Here is a 23,166-nt window from a genome sequence, read left to right as displayed (position 1 = left end):
TAAGTAACGACACTTAAAAATACTTTATGTTCTGGGGACTGTTGTGGGTTGGGGGTAGGGGGGAGGGATAGCATTGGGAGATATACCTAATGCTAGATGACGAGTTAGTGGGTGCAGCGCACCAGCATGTCACATGTATACATATGTAACTAACCAGCACATTGTGCACATGTACCCTAAAACTTAAAGTATAATAATAATAAATGAAAAAAAAGAAAAATAAATAAATAAATAAAATAAAATGTAATAGTAAAAAAATACTTTATGTTCAAAGTACGTACAAGTTATTAAACATGGAAAAAAGTGCTTTTTTAAAAAGGGGGAAAATGAGTGTTTTATGACTGTGCAATGAATTCTGCTAAATTTTGGTAGGTTTGTTATAAAGTCAGTGTCACGTGGGCTTTTACAGAAGCCTTCTGGGTTCTGATGCTGGCTCCACTTTTAGCTTGGGTTCCAGGACAAGTTGAGAATGCTTGGTCTCCATTTTCTCATATATACAATAGGGAAGATAATAGTACCTGCTTTGTAAGGTTGCATGAGGATTCAATGAGTTAGTACAGGCAAAGAATTTAATACACTTTCTGGCATATAGTGAACATAACTGTTACCTGTTAATCTTTTATGACTGTTATAATTATTATTAAGACCACATAGCAAGACCATTTTTAATTTTCATTGACTCCAAAAGACATTGTTGTAAAGAGAACAATATGCAATTGTTAATGGCATAGAAAATTTACTTGTTATCTTTTAATTAAAATGATAACATTCAGAATTATATATGTAGCTTTTAGTTCTGAAATAAGATCTCCATAGCAACAAAACTATAAATAAAAGTAAAAGATTGTTAGAATCTAACATATTTATTAAGGTCATCCCTGGATAAAGTTTACATAGTTTGTTTCATCTATGTTGTCTATTCAAGAATTGCTTTTTATGGTCAGGCAAAATTAATCACTATAAAAATATAATAGGGTTTCAGAATAAATAGCATAATGGAAATAAGAGATAAACAATTGACTGTCACACTAAATTCTTCCTTCCTTCCTTCCTTCCTTTCCTTCTTTCTTTCTTTCCTCTCCCTTTCTTTCCCCTCCCACACTCCCTCCTTCCTTCCTTCCTTCCTTTCTCCCTTTGTATGCTAATGCCCCCATACCTTACATTTTCTATTATCTTCCTAGAACATATTTTCTTCTTTTATGGTGATGAAATCAAATGTTGATGTGTGATGGTAAATCAGTGTGTATGCGTAAAATGAGACAAGGAAAAGGAGAGGGACAAGAGGAGGAAGAGGAAGAGAGAGGAAGAAAATTCAGAACTAAGTGAAAAGGTCACACTGAGTTTTATTTAAATATTTACACTAGTAGACTGAGCAGCAGGTAGACACGTCTGATATTTAGGTAACTGCATTAAAGAATGGCAGTAGATATTTGAGTGGATATTTCTCCCTGGCTGTTGTAAATTCCAGTCAGTCAGTAAAACTCCATCAGTAAACTGCTTTCCAATGTAAAGCTAATAAACTTTTTTTGGTAAGGTCACAAAGTCAGTTACTTCTTTGAAAACAGTAATGTCACACTGCTATAAGCCACAGTTGATTTTAAAAGGTTACTCTACATGTTTCATTTGGGATAAAAAATGAAAAGTTTGAAAAAATAAACATCTTTAGATATAATTCAACTGCAGTGTGTGTGTGTGCACACGTGTGCATGTGTGCATATTTTATGGAAGTACACATAAAATGTTTTTATGTGTACAAAAAACAAAAATGTCTTTTGTTTCTGGTTACTCTCCCCCTGCTCTTCCTTCTTTTCCTCTATTGGGTCTTGTTTTAAAAATAATTTCAGGCTATTTTCCCCTGGTAGCACAATGAATACACGTTCGTTATTAGAAGCAGAGAATATTATGAAGAAACAAGTGAAATGTAATGCAAAAATATTTCCACCTCTAAAAATAATTTGGTCTATTTTCTTTCATATGTTTTCCACAAACAGTCATGCACCACATAATGACATTTCTTTCAACGATGGGCTTCATATATAATGGTGTTAACATCAAATTTAATACTGTATTTTCACTGTATCCATTCTATTTTTTGATATGCAAATACTTACCAGTTTTTTACACAGTTGCCTAAAGTATTCAGTACAGTAACATGCTATACAGATTTCTACACTAGGAGCAATAAGCTCTACCATATAGCCTAGGTGTGTAATAGGCTATACAATTTACGTTTGTCTTTGCAGACTCTTGTATTTACAAAGTGTTGAAACTCACACAGAATTTCTCAGAACGCATCCCCATTTTAAAGTGACACATGACTGCATATATTTAATTAGATCGATAGATTGATACATTTTGTATCCTACAAGTTTTACTTAATATTATATATTTCCCCATACAATTAAAAGTTAGCACATTTTAAATGCTATCAACATATTTCTATGTGTTTAATTTTTTCCCAATTTTTGACATTGTAATTAATGTTGCAAATTACATATTTGGACTTAAATCCTAGTGGTCATTTCTTTTTTTGCCTTATGATTTTTGGACCAAAATACTGTATTGTAAGAGATTTCAAGTGTCCGAAGACATACTGTCTAGCTATTTTCCTGAAAGTATTTTCTGACTTGCAGAACAATACAAAGGATCCATTTTGTCAAATACCAACACTGAAAGTATCACTTTAAAATGTATTTACTTACTTGATAAAAATTAAGCATTGGGTGTTTATATAATATTTTTTTCTTTTATGAGTTATCTTGTATATCATTTGCCTATATTTTCTCCTAATGTCTTGGTATTATTATGCAGTGGTATAATTTCTTATTCATGATTTATATTAAACCAGTATATTTGACATTTGTATTTCCCAGGTTTTGCATGCATTTTAATGTTACTTTTATTTTAATGTAAAAAATAATATTTTATGTAACTAAGTGATGGCGAATTTTGTGTGACTTTTCTTCTTTGTTATAGAAGCTATTGTGTCTATCAGATCAGATCTTTAATGTGAAAAGTTTTATAATCAAGGGTACATCTTTAAGGTAATGTATCATTACCTACAAAAATAGCCTAAGTGAAGTTGCAATTTTTAGTATAATACTGAATTTCAAAGTAATAAAAGTTAATATATGAGATACAAGTCATATTCAGGAATGTTTGGACCACTCAAATTGGTAATTGCCAAATAAATCAAATAGCCTAGAATTTTTAGCCAATCAAGAGAAACAGGTGAGACAGGGGCCAAGATGGCTGATGAGAAGCAGCTGAAGTCTGCAGTGCTCAAGGAGAGGAATGGAAGGGATCAGTAAATACAGCCTTTTCAAATGAAATATTCAGGTTCTCACATGGAGACGGATTAGGGAAACAACTTCACACAAGGAGAATGAAGGAAAGCAGGATGGGGCTACAGCCTACCCAGGAGCGACGTGGAGCCAAGGGAACCCCCAACCCCTGCCAAGGGAAGCAGTGAGTGACTATGTGACCCCAAGAAACCATGCTTCTCCCATGGATTTCTGCAACTCACAGATTAGGAGATCTTGTGAGCCCATGACACCAGAGCCTTGGGTCTGACACACAGAGCTGTGTGGAGTCTTGGCAGAACAACTGCTCAATCATGCACAGAGACAGGGTGGAGCTTTACAAACTCCACCCTGGGATTTCCAACAAAGGTGTCTGCAACTCAGGCAAGGCGGGAGGTCTGCACATACTCCTAGGAAGGGGGCAGAATCCAGGGAGCCGAATGGCATTGTTCTGTGGGCCCCATTTCCATGGCACCCTACAAGAAAAGACCCACTGGCTTGGAATTTCAGCCAGCCACTGTCATCAGGACAAAGCCTTCTTGAGACCAGATGGAGCCTCGAGGAGAGGTACAGACACCATCTCTGCTATTTGGTCGACTGGGCCTTTGCAGCCTGTGGGCTTTGGAGAGTCCAAAGAGTCCAGACAAGGAGGAAGGTTTCCCCAGCAGCGTAACACAGTGGCTTTGCCAGATCATGGCCAGACTGCTTCTTTAAGCAGAGCCCTGATCCATTCTTCCTACTGGGTGGGACCTCCCAGCTGGGGCCCTCCAACCACACCTGCCTGCATGACAGAGCTATTTTCTATCCCTGGGATGGAGTGACCAAGGGAGGGGAGGGTCACCACCTGGGTTGTTTGGACAATTCAGTCATTCCACAGCCTGTGGGCTTTGGAGAGTCCAAGCTGATGGGGGCAGAGGCAGTTCCTCACCACAACATAGCTGTTTTGTCAAGGTGTGACCAGACTGTTTCTTTAACTGCCCCATCCCCCCATCCATTCTTCTTCCCAGGGCAGGTTGTCCCAGCTGGGGCCTCTGGCCACCCCTGCCTGTGTTCTCCACGGGACAAAGTGCCTGAAGGGTGGGGCAGGTCACCAACTTGGACATTCAGGCTTCTCAGCTAGTCCAGCCTGTGGGCCTTGGAGAGCCCAAACCGATTAGGGGCTGAAGAAATCTCCAACACAGCACAGTGGCTCTATCAAAAAGCAGCCAGACTGCTTTTTTAAGTCAATCCCTGACCTCATTCCTCCTGACTGAATGAGACCTCCCAACAGTAGTCTCCAACCACTTCCTCCAGGCACACTTGGGCCAGCAATAGGTCAGTTATCCCTAGCATGGAACTTCCAGAGGAAGCAGCAGGCTGCCAACTTTGCTGTCCTGCAGGCTTCATTGCTGATATTATACTTCCAGGTACAGGAAAAACAGAGGCAACTAGTGTCTCGAGTGGACTCCCAGCAAACCACAATAGCCCTATGGATGAGTGGCCAGACTTCTACAGGGCTATTAAAAGAAAAACAAACACAAAACAACAACAACAACAAACCCCACAAAACTCCATCTCCAAATCAGCAACTTCAAACATTGAAGGTAGATAAGACACCAAAGATGAGAAGCAATCAATGCAAAAAATTCTGAAAAATCAAAAAGCCGAGTGCCCCTTTTCCTCCAAATGATTGCAACACCTCTCCAGCAAGCGCTCAGAACTGGGCTAAGGCTGAGATGGCTGAAATGACAGAAGTAGGCTGCAGAAGGTGGGTAATAACAAACTTCACTGAAGTAAAGGAGCATGTTGTACCCCATGCAGAGAAGCTAAGAATCATGGTAATACAATATGGGATCTGATAGCCAGAACACCCAGGTTAGAGAGGAATATAATTGACATGTTAGAGCTGAAAAACACACTACTACAATGCAATCACAAGTATTAATAGCAGGCAGACCAAGCAGAGGAAGAAATCTCAGAGCTTGAAGCCTAACTTTCTGAAATAAGACAGGCAGACAAGAATAGAGAAAAAAGAATGAAAAGGAATTAACAAAACCTCTGAGAAATATGGAATTATGTAAAGAAACTAAACCTTCAACTGATTGGTGTACCTGGGAGAGACCGGGAGAATGGAATCAAGTTGGAAAACATACTTCAGGATATGATCCAGGAGAACTTCCCCAACCTAGGAAGAAGGCCAACATTCAAATTCAGGAAATGCAGAGAACCTCAGTAAGATACTCCACAAGATGATCATCCCCAAGACACATAATCATCAGATTCTCTGAGGTTGAAATTAAAGAAAAAATGTTAAAGGCAGCCAGAGAGAAAGGCTGAAAGGCCAGGTCACCCACTAAGGGAAGCCCATCTGACTAAAAGCAGCCCTCTCAGCAGAAACTCTACAAGCTAGAAGAGATTGGGGGCCAATAATCAATATTCTTAAAGAAAAGAATTTCCAACCCAGAACTTCACATCCAGTCAAACTAAGCTTCATAAGTGAAGGAGAAATAAGATCCTTTTCAGACAAGCAAATGCTGAGAGAATTTATTACCACCAGTCCTGCCTTGCAAGAGCTCCTGAAGAAAGCACTAAATATGAAAAGGAAAAACCATTACCAGCCACTACAGAAACACATCGAAATACACAGACCAGTGACACTATGAAGCAATCACATAAACAAGCCTGCAAACTAACCAGCTAGCAGCATGATGACAGGATCAAATCCACACATAACAATACTAACCTTAAATGTAAATGGGTTAAATGCCCCAGTTAAAAGACACAGACTGGCAAGCTGGATAAAGAGCCAAGACCCAATGGTATGCTGTCTTCAAGAGACCCATCTCACATGCAAACACACACATAAGCTCAAAATAAAGGATGGAGAAAAATGTACCAAGCAAATGGAAAACAGAAAAAAGCAGGGGTTGCAATTGTAGTTTCTGACAAAACAGACTTTAACCCACCAAAGATCAAAAAACACAAAGAAGGGCATTACCTAATGGTAAAAGGCTAAATTCAACAAGAAGAGTTAACTATCATAAATATATATGCACCCAGTACAGGAGCACCCAGATTCATAAAGCAAGTTCTTAGAGATCTTCAAAGAGACTTAGATTCCTACACAATAATAGTGGGAGACTTTAATACCCCACTGACAATATTAGACAGATCATCGAGGCAGAAAATTAACAAAGACATCCAGGACTTGAACTCAGCTTTGGATCAAGTAGACCTGATAGATATATACAGAATTCTCCATCCCAAGACAACAGAATATGCATACTTCTCATCACTACACAGCACTTACTCTAAAATTGATGACATAATTGAAAGTAAAACACTCAACAGCAAATGAAAAAGGACTGAAATCATAACAGTCTCTCAGACCACAGCACAATCAAATTAGAACTTATGATTAAGAAATTCTCTCAAAACGACACAACTACATGGAAAGTGAACAACCTGCTCCTTAGTGACTCTTGGGTAAATAATGAAATTAAGGCAGAAATCAAGAATTTCTTTGAAACTAATGAGAACAAAGATACAAAGTACCAGAATCTCTGGGATGCAGTTAAAGCAGTGTTAAGAGGGAAATTTGTGGCCCTAAATGCCCACATCAAACAGCTAGAAGTACCTCAAGTTAGCAACCTAGCATCACAACTAAAAGAATTAGAGAACCAAGAGCAAACAAACCCCAAAGCTAGTAGAAGACAAGAAATAACCAAGATCAGAGCTAAACTGAAGTGGAATAGAGAGGCACACACAAAAAAATCCTTCAAAAAATCAATAAATCCTGGAGCTGGTTGATATGATCTGGCTCTGTGTTCCCACCCAAATCGTATCTTGAATTGTAATCCAAATTATAATCCCCATGTGTTGGGGGAGGGACGTCATGGGGGTGGTTCCCCTTGCTGTTCTCATCATAGTGATTGAGTTCTCATGACATCTGGTGTTTTTATAAAGGGCTTTCCCCGACTTCACTCTGCACTTCTCTCTCCTGCCGCCATGTGAAGAAGGATGTGTTTGCTTCCCTTTCGGCCCTGATTGTAAGTTTCCTGAGGCCTCTCCAGCCATGTGAAACTGTAAGTCAAGTAAACCTCTTTTTTTTTTTTAATAAATCACTCAGTCTTGGGCAGTTCTTTATACCAGTGTGAGAATTTAATACACTGGTTTTTTGAAATAATTAATAAAATAGTCCATTAGCTAGAATAATAAAGAAGAAAAGAGAGACGATTCAAATAAACACAACCAGAAATCGTAAGGGGGGCATCACCACTGACCTCACAGAAATACATTTGTATTTCCCTATAGAAATATGTTTGTATTTCTCTATTATTTTTATAGTATTCTCTGTACCATCAGAGAATGCTATGAACACCTCTATGCACATAAACTAGAAAATCTAGAAGAAATGGAAAATTTCTGGACACATGCACCCTCCCAAGACTGAACCAGAAAGAAATTGATTCCCTAAGCCAGACCAATAATGACTTCTGAAATTGAGGCAGTAATAAATAGCCTACCAACCAGAAAAAGCCCAGGACGAGACAGACTCACAGCTGCATTCTACCAGAGGTCCAAAGAAGAGCTGATAACATGCCTATTCAAACTATTCCAAAAACCTGAAAAGGAAGGACTCCTCTCTAGCACACTCTATGAGGCCAGCATCATCCTGGTACCAAAACCTGGTGGATATACAACAACAACAACAACAACAACAACAACAAAACTTCGGGCAAATATTTTTGATGAACATCTATGCAAAAATGCTTAACAAAGTTATGGCAAACTGAATCCAGCAGCACATCAAAATGGGTATTCACTGTAATCATGTAGGCCTCATCCCTGAGATGTAGGGTTGGTTCAACATACACATATCAATAAATGTGATTAATCACACAAAGAGATCTAAAGACAAAAACCACATGATTATCTCAGTAGATGCAGAAAAGTTCTTGAATAAAATTCAACATCCCTTTATATTAAAAACTCTCAGTTAACTAGGTTTTGAAGGAACATACCTCAAAATAGTAAGAGCCATCTATGACAAACCCACAGCCAATATCATACTGAATGGGGAAAAGCTGGAAGCATTCCACAGAAAACTGTCACAAGACAAGGATGCCTTCTCTCACCGTGACTATTCAACACAGTATTGGCTATCCTGGCCAGGGCAATCAGACAAGAGAAAGAAACAAAGGGTATTCAAATAGGAAGAAAGGAAGTCAAATTATCTTTGCAGATGTCATGATCCTGTAACTAGGAAACCTCATCATCTCAGCCCAAAAGATTCTTAAGCCGATAAGCAACTTCAGCAAAGTCTCAGGATACAAAATCAATGTATAAAAATCACAAGCATTCCTATAAGCCAACAATAAGCAATCAGAGAGTCAAATTATGAATGAACTCTCATTCACAATTGCCAAAAATAATATAAAATACCTAAGATATAGCTAACAAGGGAAGTGAAGGACCTTATTAAGAAGAACTACAAACCTCTGCTCAAAGAAATCAGAGATGACACAAATAAATGGAAAAACATTCCATGCTCATGGATAGGGAGAATAGGAATAATCAACATCATGAAAATGGCCATATTGCCCAAAGCAATACATAGATTCAATACTATTCCCATTAAACTACCATTGACCATTCTTCAGAGAATTTAAAAAAACTATTTAAAAATTCACATGGAACCAAAAAAGAGTCCAATGGCCAACACAATCCTAAGAAAAAAGAACAAAGCTGGAGGCATCACACTACCCAACTTCAAACTCTACTGCAAGGCTACTGTAACCAAAACAGCATGGTACTGATATGAACAGACACATAGACCAATGGGACACAGTATAGAACTCAGAAATAAGACCATACACCTATAACCACCTGATCTTCAACAAACCTGACAAAAACAAGCAATGGGAAAAGGATTCCTCATTGAATAAATGGTGCTGGAAGAACTGGCTAGTCATATGCAGAAAATTGAAACTGGACCCCTTCCTTACACTGTACAAAAAAATCAATTCAAAATGAATTAAAGACTTTAATTTAAAACCCAAAACTCTAAAAACCTTAGAAGACTATATAGGCAATTCCATTCAGGACATGGGCACAGGCAAAGATTTCATGATGGAGATGCCAAAAGCAATTGCAACAAAAGCAAAAATTGACAGATGGGATATAATTAAACTGAAGTGCTTCTGCACAGTAAAAGAAACTGTCATCAGAGTGAACAGACAACCTACAGAATGAGAAACAAATTTTGCAATCTATCCATCTGACAAAGGTCTAATATCTAGCTTCTGCAAGGAACTTAAATTTACAAGACAAAAACAACCTCATAAAAATGTGGGCAAAGGACATGAACAGACAATTCTCAAAAGAAGATATACATGTGGCCAACAAACATGAAAAAAAATCTCTACATCACTGATCATTAGAGAAATGCAAATCAAAACTGCAATGAGATACCATCTCACACCAGTCAAAATGACTATTATTAAAAAGTCAAAAAACAACAGATGCTGGTGATGCTGCAGAGAAAAAGGAAAGCTTTTATGCTGTTGGTGGGAGGGGAAATTAGTTCAATCATTGTGGAAGACAGCGTGAAGATTCCTCAAAGACCTAGAGGCAGAAATACCATTTGACCCAGCAATCCCATTACTGGATATAAACCCAAAGGAATATAATTTATTCTATTATAAAGATACATGCATACATATGTTCATTGCAGCACTATTCACAATAGCAAAGACATGAAATCAACCTAAATGCCCATCAATGATAGACTGGGTAAAGAAAATGTGGTACATATACACCATGGAATACTACGCAGCCATAAAAAGGAATGAGATCCTGTCCTTTGCGGGCACATGGATGGAGCTGGAGGCTATTGTCCTCAGCAAACTAATGCAGGAACAGAAAGCCAAATACCACATGTTCTCACTTATAAGTGAGAACTGAATGATGAGAACATATGGACACATAGAGAGGAACAACACACATGGGGTCTGTCGGAGGTTTAGGTGGTGAGGAAGGAAAGCATCAAGAATAATAGCTAATGGATGCCAGCCTTAATACTTAGGTGATGGGATGATCTGTGCAGACAACCGTCACGGCACACGTTTACCTATGTAACAAAGTTGTACATCCTGCCCATGCATTCATGAACTTAAATTTAAAAAAAAAAAAGAAAAAGGTACCATTACTTTGCCTAAACTGTAATTTTGAATGCCAGTACCAATCTTGCAGATCTTCACTTTAGCTTTAAGTAAATCCTAGCTACATCATCAACATACAAACATACATTGGTCTTGTCCATTTAAAAACAACAACAGGGCCAGGCACGGTGGCTTGTAATCCCAGCACTTTGGAAGGCCAAGGCAGGTGGATCATTTGAGGTCAGGAGTTTGAAAACAACCTGGCCAACATGGTGAAACCCCATCTCTACTAAAAATACAAAAATTAACCGGGCATGGTGGTAGGTGCCTGTAATCCCAGCTACTCGGGAGGCTGAGGCAGGAGCATCACTTAAGCCTGGGAGGCAGAGGTGGCAGTGAGCAGAGATCATGCCACTGCACTCCAGCCTGGGTGACAGGGTGAGACTCTGACTCAAAAATAAGTAAATAAATAAATAAATAAATAAATAAATAAATAAATACAAATAACAACAACCCCACATAAAACAGTAATTTGAGTTCAGATCTTTCAGCAGCCAACATTTCATTTCTCTATGTTCTTTCTTTCTAGTTAACAGTTAACTAACTGTTCTTCCTCTCTAGTTAGTCAAAATATTTACTTAACGCCTTTCATTCTCTTTTTTACCTACAAAATTTGTCTTTTCTATTCCACAGAGTAGAAATTAACAGTAACCTCCATGTTGTTAAGCCCAATATTTGCCTCTCTGTCTTCATCTTACATGACATTTAGATGAATTCAACAGTTGACAACCTCTTTTGTTTCCTTGATTTCTGTGATACTACACTTTCTTCATTTTCTCCTACTCAATATTCACAATTACTTAGTCTCCATTTTAGTCTTCCTCTCTCAGTCTCATATATCAACTTCCATAATCGAAAGTTCTACTTAGATGTTTCATAAGCAGCTCAAATTAACCATGTCCAAACTGATCTCTAGAATTCCTCCTAAAGTCTTCTCTATTTCTGAAAATGGCACTAATGTCCATTTGGTGCTCAAGCCCAAATCCTAGGGCTCATTCTTTATTTCTACTCTTTTCTTCTTAGGCTATATCCAACCCATCATAAGTCATGCTGAATGTACCACTAAAATTATTTCCTTAATTGACATATTTCTCTGCATCTCCCCTGATAACCACCTCATACAAGCAGTACTATCTCTCACCCAAACTATGCAGAAGTTCTGCTGCGACTCTCATATCTACACAAGTAATTCTTCTTACAGAAGTCTCAATGCGCTTGATAAAAAATAAGATGATAAAGCCATACAGTTTAATGACTTCCAACAGCTTCCTATTCTTAAAAATAATATCTAAACAATTTGTAATGCCCTGCAGGATCCCACAGGATTTGGGCAATTTCCACCTCTTGGACTTCATCTTTTGTCTTAATAACTCACAGCATTTATGCACGGCGGCATCCTTCCTGCTTCTTGAGCGTGCTTTTGGTCTTCCATGTTCTCTTCCTATGTAATCTTCTTTCTCTCATGTTTTCATGGCTAATTCCTTTTCATCACTCTGATCTCATCTTAAATATTTTCTCCCCAGAGCAGTCTTTCTTCACCACACATTCTAATATTAGCCCTGTTGCCTTTGAACAGGACGTATTAACCTAGTCCCTTTATCATATTAATCTGTTCAACTGGTTCATAATATATATTATTTGAAGACATTCATTTTTGCTTAGTTGTTTTAAAATAAGAATAATAAATGCTATATGGTCTGATTCCTCCGTTAGGTCATGAACTTAATGAGCTTAAGGATCTTGTCTATTTGTTCCTTGCTGTAGGCCAAAGACTAGTATAGTAACTTGTATAGTAGAGGTGTTTAATAAATATTTTTTGAATGACTAGGTGTTTCATTATATACCTACTGTTATAGATTAAGTATGAATTGAAATATAACATGAGCTCTTTTTATAATTTACATTTTAAAGAATTGAGCAACATGAACATATTCCTAATGGGAACATCCATAACGGAAAGAATAGAACTGACAGTCAGAACACACCTAAGTTTAAACTGAGGACCAGCTTGGCTTTTTTCAGTTCCAAGGTAATGTAATCTCCTTGCTGTCCTTCTCCGTGCAGGATTACTCCTTCACTTTCAGACGTCTTAAAGTTCAAGGCAATGACATCTTTCAGTGTTTTCATCTTCTTGTTTCTGAATCTATATGGTAATACAACATGGCCATCAAAGTTGATAACATCAGCCCCTAAAACAAAAAAAAAAATAACATATTAGTTCAGCCATGTATGTTACCATCCACTTCCAACAGGTGTCTGCAAAGAATAAATGAGAATTAAGTAAGTGTTTTTCTTGAGAAATTGACAGTCCTCTGTTTTTCTTCTATTCCTTCTTTTGATTTACTGTGTTTGTTTTAAAGGAGGTTTTATGGAGAGTATTGATAAAAATGCTCATAAAAGCTCTATCAGTTGAACATTTTACTTTAATTACAAAATTAGTAATATAAATTCAATGGGTTATATGCTTCAAATCTTAACTTAGAAATCTAGAGTTTAGACCAAAATCGTAAAATTTTTAAATCTCAAACAGATTATGAGACTTAAATGTTTGATTCCTTAATGATAATTCTTCATGATTTTAAGTATATATTTTATTCAAAAAGTTGTTTTCTTTGATGTAAGAATGAAGGCACTTGGAATGTAATCTTTTATGCTATTCTCTTTTTTTTAAATGGTTTTTATATTTCACCACAATTTTAGTAAACCTTGTTGTAGTATTCAGAGTTTACAACCAATCGAATTTTCAGAAACTTCTTACCATTTATTCTTAGGAAGCAGTGTGTCTCAAATTTCTTATTACCTCCTTGCATTTGGAATGGAGAATTGGGCACCATTGTTTGTTTTTTCACTACATTGGACACAGATATCTTCACTTATCCATATATGAGTTTAAAGAACAAATATCCAGCGTATGACTACAGCAGCTCTAATTTTAGTTTCAGGGGAATAGATTAAAATAAGGAAAGTATGTAAACTTTTTAAAAAATGGGAAATATGATCAGAAATATGTGACTGTGAGGATTCATTTGATAACTACTATTTATTTCACACCAGAAATAAAAATGAGATGATATTATTTATTAGGCACTATTGGTCAATGCATTCTCGATTCATAGAATGATTCAAAATGCAATGTAACCATTCAAATCAAATATTGAGTTCAAATAGAAGCTTCGTTACCATGATCAAATCTTCACTGTTAAAAATCTTTTCAATAGACTATTTCTGTAAGCTTTTCATTTTTAAATCATAGAAAGCCTAGTCAAACGGAACAGCTCTAATAACTTTAGAATTACAAGTCTGGACAAAGCTAGCCTCTAGGTTTTGGGTAAGGTCTGGCTAAAGAACTCCAGAGGGAGACATTGGAGAAAAATAATAGCCAGTTTAAAGCCTGTCAGAGAAATATTTTCTCATTTCATGTCCTAGTTCTCTGGCACTTGTTTACTCCAATCACCACGAGGAACACTTTGGTTTGCCTTGTAAGTGGAGCATACCACCAAATAAATTCCTTTGGGGGCCACAGTAGAGATGCAGGGCTGCCAGAACCACATCCACTCCTTTTTTGTGTTGAGTTTACTTAATTCTATAAAGTGAATTGTTGTGCATACAGTTACTTCGAATAAAATGAAATCTAAGCATGCCTTTCAAATCATTGATGGCTTTCACATACTTTGAAAATATCTATGCTAGTATCTCAAATATTTATGCTTTTAAATAAGTTTGTACAATGTTATATTATAAAACATTCAGAAAAAATATGACCTTAAACTTTAAATTTTAATTCTTATAATCAGCTCTTTATTGCCCATAAAAAGACTTTCTTAATCAACAGAATTCTGTTCTCTGAGACTGTGAATCACAGAGGTTTATTTTAATATGAGGGAAAAAATCAATCGTTTAATTTTGGCTTCTGCTAACACTGCAAAGCCAATTAAACTTCAGCTTAATCCTATATACTGTCACAGCTGAATTTCAATGGCAATATCTTTTTCATGTGCAATGAGAAATAAAGGAGAACGTATAATCCAGCAGTTGATGATACTTTTTATCTTGAAAAGTGAATAAAAGAAAAACAGATGACAGTAAATTCTGAACTCTAGACAGTAGTTTTGCAGTCAATTTCCTATCAGTGACAGTTAAATAATAGACACATCTTGTTTTATACACCTTTAGCATATTTTAATTGACATAAAATATTTCTAATTCATCTTTCAGGAAGTAAACGTTCCCTGAGCTTTTACTCAGGGAACAAGAATCACCTCCTCTATACTTTCTTCTAAATCAAAACACATTTAGTTCTAGGTACAGAGTAATGATTTACGCAAATGTTAATGCATTCCTGTCTTACTTTTAGAGCAATGAGAAAATGTGACAGAAAAGATGAAGATGGCTTATTTTTTTCAGACAATCCTAAGATATTAATAAAAACAGGAAGGACAGCTATTCATGTAGACCAAGTCTCACTTTACAAATGGTAAGTTGTCAGGGTCAGCTGGGAAACAAAATTCTCTGTAACCTAGATTCCCTACAAAGAAAAAGAAAAAGTTTCAACATATTTTCCCACCTATCTATCCATCTATCTAAAACAAAATTTAAAAGTTGTTATTCTATGAATGGGTTAAATGCTTCCAAAATATCAGCACATCCTCTTGTGGATGTAAGCTCAGAGCTGGCTTGAAAATTATAAAATTTCTAGAAGTAATCTATGATATTTACACTTTAACACATACCATGTACTCTTTAAAAAGTCTGGGATATTCTACAACAATGTAAAGAACATCCATCACAGTTTGGCTCTGTTTCCTACAAAAATAGATTAAAATTTCATTTGATATCTAATAATGCGCTGTGCTTATTTGGGGACAAGCCACTTTTTTCTTCTATTATCCTGATTGCTTATCACTCCCTAGAATTAAGTTTTCGATGCGGTGATTAAATATGTATGGTTGAACTGTTTAAGCAATCTGAACAATAATGGCTAGTCAAAAAATGAATGCAAAATCATAGTGTTTCCACAATTTTGTTCCTAACAAAAGCTCAGCAAGCTGGTAATATGCCCAATTCATCAAATCATCATGGTAGAAAACGCTTTTTCAAAAACATTTTATTGTTCCTTAGTCTTCACTTTCTAACTTTGAATAAGATAATTTGAAGAAGTGTTTACCATATAAACATTTTAATATTAAAATTTTAAGTTTATTTGATATTTTAATTTTAAAAGATATCTTTGCTATATATTTTATTACAAACTATGTCTATTGATCAAAAGAAATTAAGCAATACAGAAATATAGAAAGTAGAGAGTGAATCCCAACCACGAAAAATCACCAGTGTTAATGGGTACTTAACTGGTGCATATCCTACATTTTACATATTTACCTAAATATCTATCCAACTATATAAGGTATGGAATAATTCATATATATATATATATATATATATATATATATATATATATATATGAGGGAGGAAGGGAGAAGAATAAAGACAGTGGGAGAGAGAGAGGGAGAATTTCATTTCAGTTAGTCATGGTCCAAAATGTACACTAATAATTTGAGTTTGGGGTGATATAATATTTATAGTACAGGGAAATTGCATGGTTTAATTAAAATTTTTTATTAATCTTAATAAAAGACACTTATAAAAGAATATATAATTTGAAACTGTAGTCTACTTATTTGAAAAAATTAAAAAGTATGTAAATATAGCATATCAACAAATAAATATTCAAGAGTTACTTTTAATACCGTTTCCCCATCAAATGTTTTCAGTTACTTTTATAGGGGATCCGAAAGAAACAAAAAGGTTTAAAGAAAAAAAATTTAAAAGGCATTATTTCATTTTTTACTGAAATAACCAATGATAATATACTATTTGTGATTATTTTAAATTGCATATAAAGAATCTTTACGTATGTACATAGATACACATATGGATAATACTGTATATAGTTTGTGTTTGATTTTTGTTACTGTACATTTTTTAAACCTTATTTCATAATTTTGTTTTCTAAAACAGGATTTTGATTAGCTAAAAATGTACCATTAGTTAAATGTCCAACTTCTTCAATAAAAATTGTGGTGGAAGTTTTGTTTTTATTTTCACAAACTTTTTATTTTGGAAAAATTTTAGATTTAGAGAAAAGCTGAAAAGGTAGTTGGAAAGATAGAATTCTCATATGTTTCACCCAGCTTCCTCTAATATTAACATTTTATATAACCTGGCACATTTGTCAAAATGAAAATACTAACTTAAGTGGCATTCACTCAAATACAGATTATACTTGGACTTCACCAGGGTTTCACTAATACTTTTTTGTTGCTGTTCTAGGATTCAATCCAGGATCTCAGATTGCATTTAGTTATGATGCCTCCCTAGTCACTTCTAATCTGCAACAGTTTCCAATTCTTTCCTTGTCTTTCATAACCTTGACCCTCTAGAAGAGCACCAGCCAGGTGCTTTGTAGAATCTTTCTCAGTTTGGATTTGTCTGACGTTTTCTTAGGACTAGACTGCATTATTGATATTTGGGGAGAATATCACAGAGTTGTGGAATCATATATCTCAAATATATACAATTTTTATTTTTCAATTATATAATAATTCAATAAAGGTAAAAAATTATATAGATTTTTAGAGAAAAAAGGAAACAAAATTAAAGACTTCTTTTATAAAAAATAAACTAATTAAAAACTAGTAAATTTGGAACTTTAAATTTTGTAAAAGCATATATATTTCTCAAATACATATAAAGCATATGAATCTAAAAAAATAGTAAAAATGTATATTAACCAGTTAGTACAGAATCGAATACTATATAGTTTATGCAAATAAATACCAAGTCACTTCAAGAGTTTGAAATACATTTCATTTCTGAAACTGAAGTTTAAAAATACTAGAAGATAGAATTTGCTTATTTTGCAAGTTTCACACACATGCAAATCTGTGTATTATTTTCATTGTCAGATGTCAATATTTTAGATACATTGATCATTCTTTATAAAAAGTGTGACTGCCAACTTTACCTCCTCTCTATTCACGCAGCTTTATTCATTTTTATGGAATTTATCTCTACCTGATACATTGATGTTTGTATATTTACAGCATATCTCCTCTGAGACTTAGTTTTGTTCCATTCTAAAGCCCAGCACTTAAAACAGTGCCTGAAAAACAGTGAATATTTATTAAATATTTGTAGAATGTGTGAATGTTGTCACTCATATTTCTATTAATTGGATTAAGGTATAATAAACACTATTATTTCATACTTCATTAAAAAATTAGAGTCACTAGATTGGAAGAAATTTCAAGAATCTCGCTGACCCATCTTGGTGCTACAACTACAAATATACTTGAGGTTTCAATAGTCAGATGAAAAGACTGGTAACATTAGGTTACTTTTGGGGAGCTGTGGTGGTGGGCAAGAATGTATTCCATTATTTTAAATTGACTCAGTCCTAGAACAGACACAACTCTGGTGGACTCAATCTCATTCCATCTACACATTGCTTTTATCTGAATACTTTCTTCCTCCTAACCCACTGCCTTTCTTTTTTTCAATGTATCTATGATATAAACCTAAACAGATAAAATAATTTCAAAATGTCATTATAGCTAATTTAGAGTAATAGTAGCAAATGAGCCTTCTCCAGATCCTTTAAAAATGATCTAGAGATAGAATCTGAAAATCACTTCTACTTTGGGGAAAATGGAACAAAACAAAAAACCTCAAGGCTCTTCTTTCCTGAAGGCCAGCATCTCACAGTTTGTGCAATATTTCTGCTTAAAATATGTTGCTTTCCCCTTCAGTGCTTGATATTCCCTAGGACAGTGACAACAATATCAAAGGACTCTGATTTCATTTCTGCATACCATTTAGATTCCAATCCAGTAACTTGGAAGGCTGATCCACATGGATATTCCACAGGCACATCTCACTCTACCTGCTCAACATATAATTCTTTCTCTGGGCCCCACTACTTTTATTATATCCATTATCCAGTCACTCAAGCCAGAGATCTGGAACTTTCTTGAGCTTCTTTTTTTTTTTTTTTCTTTTTGCCTACCTACATTTAGCGACTTCCAAGACCTGTGAAATATAGAGCTTTGTGCAGTGGCAGTATCATATAGCCAATGAGTTCATTTGAGGTGCAATGATTGTTAATTGAAATTTGATATTTCAATTTGATATTTCACTTTGATATTTTTAAAACTCATAGTTTACTTTTATATGTACTATCATGAGCCTACCATTACCTCACATGTTGCCTATTGTATTAACATTGTTAAATGACCAATTCTCATCCTTTGGTCTTATTTCTCTTAAATCCAACTGATATGAACAGGAGACAAGAGGGTGGTTCCCCGGCAAAGGCTCCGCCCTCAAGCCCGCAAACCGTGGTGCTAAATGAGAACAGTTATCCTGTTTTCCTGCCCAATTGTTGCTTCTTTCAAAACCACCCTGGCCTGCCGTGCTCCCCATCCTATACTCATAAATCCAAACCCCAGGCTCCATGAACAGACGAGCAGTAGAACAGAAGAGCGGCACAGCAGAGAAGGAGAGAAGAGAGGAAGCGTCTGTACATCAAGAGGGGTTTGGCTGGGGACAGTCAGATAGGAGAATGGCCGTGGGGTGGTTGAACTCCAGGGGAAGATCATCTTCCCACTCCATCTCCTTTCCAGCTCCCCATCCATCCCGCTGAGAGCCACCTCCATCACTCAGTAAAATCCCTGCATTCACCATCCTTCAAGTCCATGTGACCTGATTCTTTCTGAATGCCAGACAAGGACCTGCGTATCAAGAGGACAGGGTATAAAAGGCTGTCACCCTGACTCTCCACTGAACTGGTTAACACTTAACCATCCACAGATGGCAAAGCTAAAAGAGCACTGCAACACCCCTAGACACTGCCGTGGAGCCAGGGCCCAAAAGCGCTCGCTCCAGCTCACCTGCATGCTCCTCCTCCCAAAAGGGGCTTGAGCGAGAAATGGAGCCACACCCTTGTTGCAAGTCCCGTGAAGGGGTCCAGGGAACTCTCCCGTCTTAAAACCATCACACAGAAGCTGGAAAGACCTTTTTGAAATAAACTCTTTCCAAAAAAGATCAAAAGCCAGGTTCTTCAGTGTGGCCTATACCACCCTCAATGATATAGCTCCTGCCTTCCCGTCCAGGCTCATTTTTAGTGCCATCTTTCTTTTTATGTGCTCCTGATGGTAAACGGATTGAATTCCTCGCAAACTTCACATAGCACCTTTCCTCGGGCTATGCTCACTTTCTTCAGTGAGCAGCCATTTTTCTTGTTCTAGTTTACTTTTAGGCATCTTCTAAGCCTCAGATAAGCCTCACCACTAGAAAGCCTGCCTGTGTGAAACAGCCTTGGTCTATTGTCCCCTAGTTCCTTGCATACTTTTATCATTTTACTTCTCACATTATATTGAAGTTATCTTCTTTTGGGCGTGATTTTTCCTGTGGACTTGAAGCTCTTCTAGGATACAGGCTTTGGATTGTTCCGTTTTGGATTCCTGGCAGCATAAACACTTTCTAAACTGATTGAAACATCATTTAGGTTTGAAACAAGGCAAAAGGAGAATTCCACTGTGTTATTATTTCCCCTCTAAACTATGCCTGTGACCGTGCAGTTTACTTTCTAAGAGTACAGATTTATACATGATTTAAGGCTACACAACTCTTACAACTATGAGTGTCTGATATGAATAAATGGTTTAAACATAACATGCTTTTATTATACTTACACTGGAGTTATTTGTTTATAAGTCAAAGGCCAAAACATTGAACTCCTGTATGAGTTTAAATAAAGAATATATAATTTCCTTTGAATTAAATGCATTAATGAGGAACTTGCATATTCCAAGATTAAAGTCACTAAGTTTTAAACACCTTTTAGAGCAGTCATTGTATGCTAATCTGAAATGGTTATTGATTTTCAGAGGCAAGATCAATTGACTCCTACATATTTTAATTTTTGACTTACTCCATAAAAAATGTATATATGATAAACCATAAATGGCTAATCATCTGGTTGGCCCAATGAATCACAAAAAACAGACACAGGAAAATATTAGTAACTTTTTAAAGTTATAGCATTAGATATCACATTATTCAACGTGAAGAGACAAAAAAGCCCACTGAGGTACCCTATGCCTCCCAAAATGGACATTCACACACACATACACCCCCCATACACATACACACAAACACATGCACACACCTATATTCTGTCCTCGCTCTCATCCACTCATTACCCACAAGATATCAGAAAATCAGAGTGATCTATTTCTAAGCAGGGTTATAACTCTCATATATCCAATAATGCAGAAATAATAACAATTTCTGAAAATTAGCATATAATCTATTTGTAGGAAATCCATGTGGAAGCTGTTTTTATTTATTTTTGTAAATCAAAAAGTCAAATAAATTAGACTCGCCTTCTCGCCTTCGCTGTTTACTGAAAATAGCTCTACAACTTTTGACCACACAAAATCTAGTTTTTTTGCTGGCGAAAAGACTATCTAGAATTATAAATCCTAAGTAAATGCTACACAGATGAGGAAAGAAACCAGACATCAAGAAACTCCTCAGAATGTCTTTTGATTTAAATTATTCCCAACATTTATTTCGGAATTTTTAAAATCTCTATTCAGTTCACCTTCTAATTCCATTTAAAATATCATTGTCAGTGTTCTGTCCAAATTTTGATACTATATAAAGATAGCAGTTTAGTTACAAATAGTGATAAGCAACTTGTTTTTAGGCACTCTTTTCATAGTAATTTATATAATATTGAGGAAAAAATCAATTATCCCTATGAGTAAACGGAGGCTGGTAGCTGTGGAGGGTGGGAGCAGGGGTAATGGCAGCCACCTGTGTCATTTCTTGGAGCTGCCATGGCTTCAACTTCCCCTCTATCCTGACCATGTATTTTAATCTCTGTGCTCCAATGCTTTGACATCTGGGGCCTTGCTGACCCTAGAGGGACTGGTCTTCCCAGAGTTAGCCAATTTCTAGAGATGGTAAGCACACTTTCCAAATATAAAGCAATCAATCCAGAGTCCACACCCCAACTGCTTCCTTTATCCAGCTTTCTCTCTTCTGGACCATGATCCGTCTTCCCTATTCATCCCAGAATCAGGTACAAGACAACTAGGATCAGCCTCTGTGCCCCAGAACTCACTGGAATAATTATTCCAGTTAGCCAGACCTAAGCCTGCTTACCCTGCTGCACCTATCCCTTCCCATGGAAACTACAATAAAGGACCTTGCCCACAGTTCCCTCATCCCCTCTACCTCCTGACAGATCCTGGTGCTTCCCTGAGCTCCCTACCTCTGGTCTACACCCTGTGGGATGGCCTGCCACAGTAATAAAAGTAATAAAGTAAATAAATGTCATGTATTTTAATAAAGTAATAATTGTATTTATATAAAATAAAATAACTTCAATGCTCAGAGAAGACAAGCAGTTTATACAAATGTGTGATGCTGGCTGGTTATAAATATCGTATCAATAATATAAAGTATTAATAAAGTAATAAAATATTAGTATCTTTTCACGGTAGGTGTTTTCTGATATGTTGGCCTTACTGTGTCTCAAATTTTCTACTAATAAACTATATTAGAAAACACTCAGTACAGAAAATTATTTTACCATATCTTAGAAAAGAAGTGAAAAATCAGTTTTGATCAAACAAAAGCCTAGGAATTGTTGGCAAAAGTTAGTCCATAGACCTGCAAAAAGCTCCTTTAAAGCAAATTTTAGAAACCATTATTAAATGTCTAAGATCAACTTCTGGACTCTGAAGTATCTTCTACATCCATAACATTGTGTCAAGACTGGGGTTGTGGAAGTAATGGGGTGAGTTAAAAAACAAACAAAAAACAATACAGGAACTTTCCAGTGAAAAGAGAATTAAGACTGAGTAAGATAAATTCAGACAGATAGGGGAATAGCACATTCGACTGTTCTAAAAACGCTCAGTTGTTTGTGACTTTACTACATAAGGCTTACAATTCATGTGCAGGGTGAGAATTGGAAGATTAAAGACTTAATGCTCCCTGAGGAAGCTGAGGGCCCATGTGTGTAATGATGGTATTCTAAGTGGAAAATGCATGTCCAGGTTTGCATTGGAAAGATAACTCCTGTGCTAGTGAGGGAGAGGAGAAAGGGCGTGGAAAGGGCCCAGAAACAGAGAGAACAAAGACCCAGCCTCAAACGAGCTGATGTTCTTACAGTGTTGGCAACAGTTACGCAAAGCCAGAATTCAGAAGATACCTATGTCATTAAAGGATGCAAAGCATTCAGATGATGCATTATCACTACACAGAATTTCAAAGCAGTTAGGGATTTTATACTAACTGAAGAATTTCAGATCAAAATTTACAGTTGTGGCTGACTCCAGGTGTATGATAAATCCAATATTACAAAGCCTCAGAATTTAAAATGAAATTGACAGTACCCTGAAAACAAAAACAAAATGTCAAAAATTCCTCTTTGAAACACGCTACATATTCGAATTCATTTTCCCACCATCTTAATTTTTACACAGAATCTTAGTTTGTTACTTCTTTAGCTATCCAAAATTTCTATGCGCTATCCTTTTCAAATTCATCTGATATGCTTTGTCTCTGTTTCTCCACCCAAATCTCAT

The 23,166-nt window shown here is 36.2% G+C and overlaps 1 protein-coding gene across 2 annotated transcripts in view; it reads right to left on the bottom strand.

Annotated features, from left to right (window-relative positions):
* CNTNAP2 (contactin associated protein 2) overlaps nt 1-23,166 on the bottom strand; it is a 2,304,198-nt gene that overhangs the window by 1,300,159 nt on the left and 980,873 nt on the right. For both annotated transcript variants that reach the window (NM_014141.6, XM_017011950.3), the window contains exon 5: nt 12,490-12,693. In NM_014141.6, the coding sequence (NP_054860.1) occupies nt 12,490-12,693 (204 nt within the window). The remainder of the gene's footprint in view (nt 1-12,489; nt 12,694-23,166) is intronic.

This window comes from Homo sapiens, chromosome 7, assembly GCF_000001405.40.
Source record: "Homo sapiens chromosome 7, GRCh38.p14 Primary Assembly".
NCBI classification, from domain to species: Eukaryota; Metazoa; Chordata; class Mammalia; order Primates; family Hominidae; genus Homo; species Homo sapiens.
This window is presented reverse-complemented; position numbering and strand designations above follow the sequence as displayed.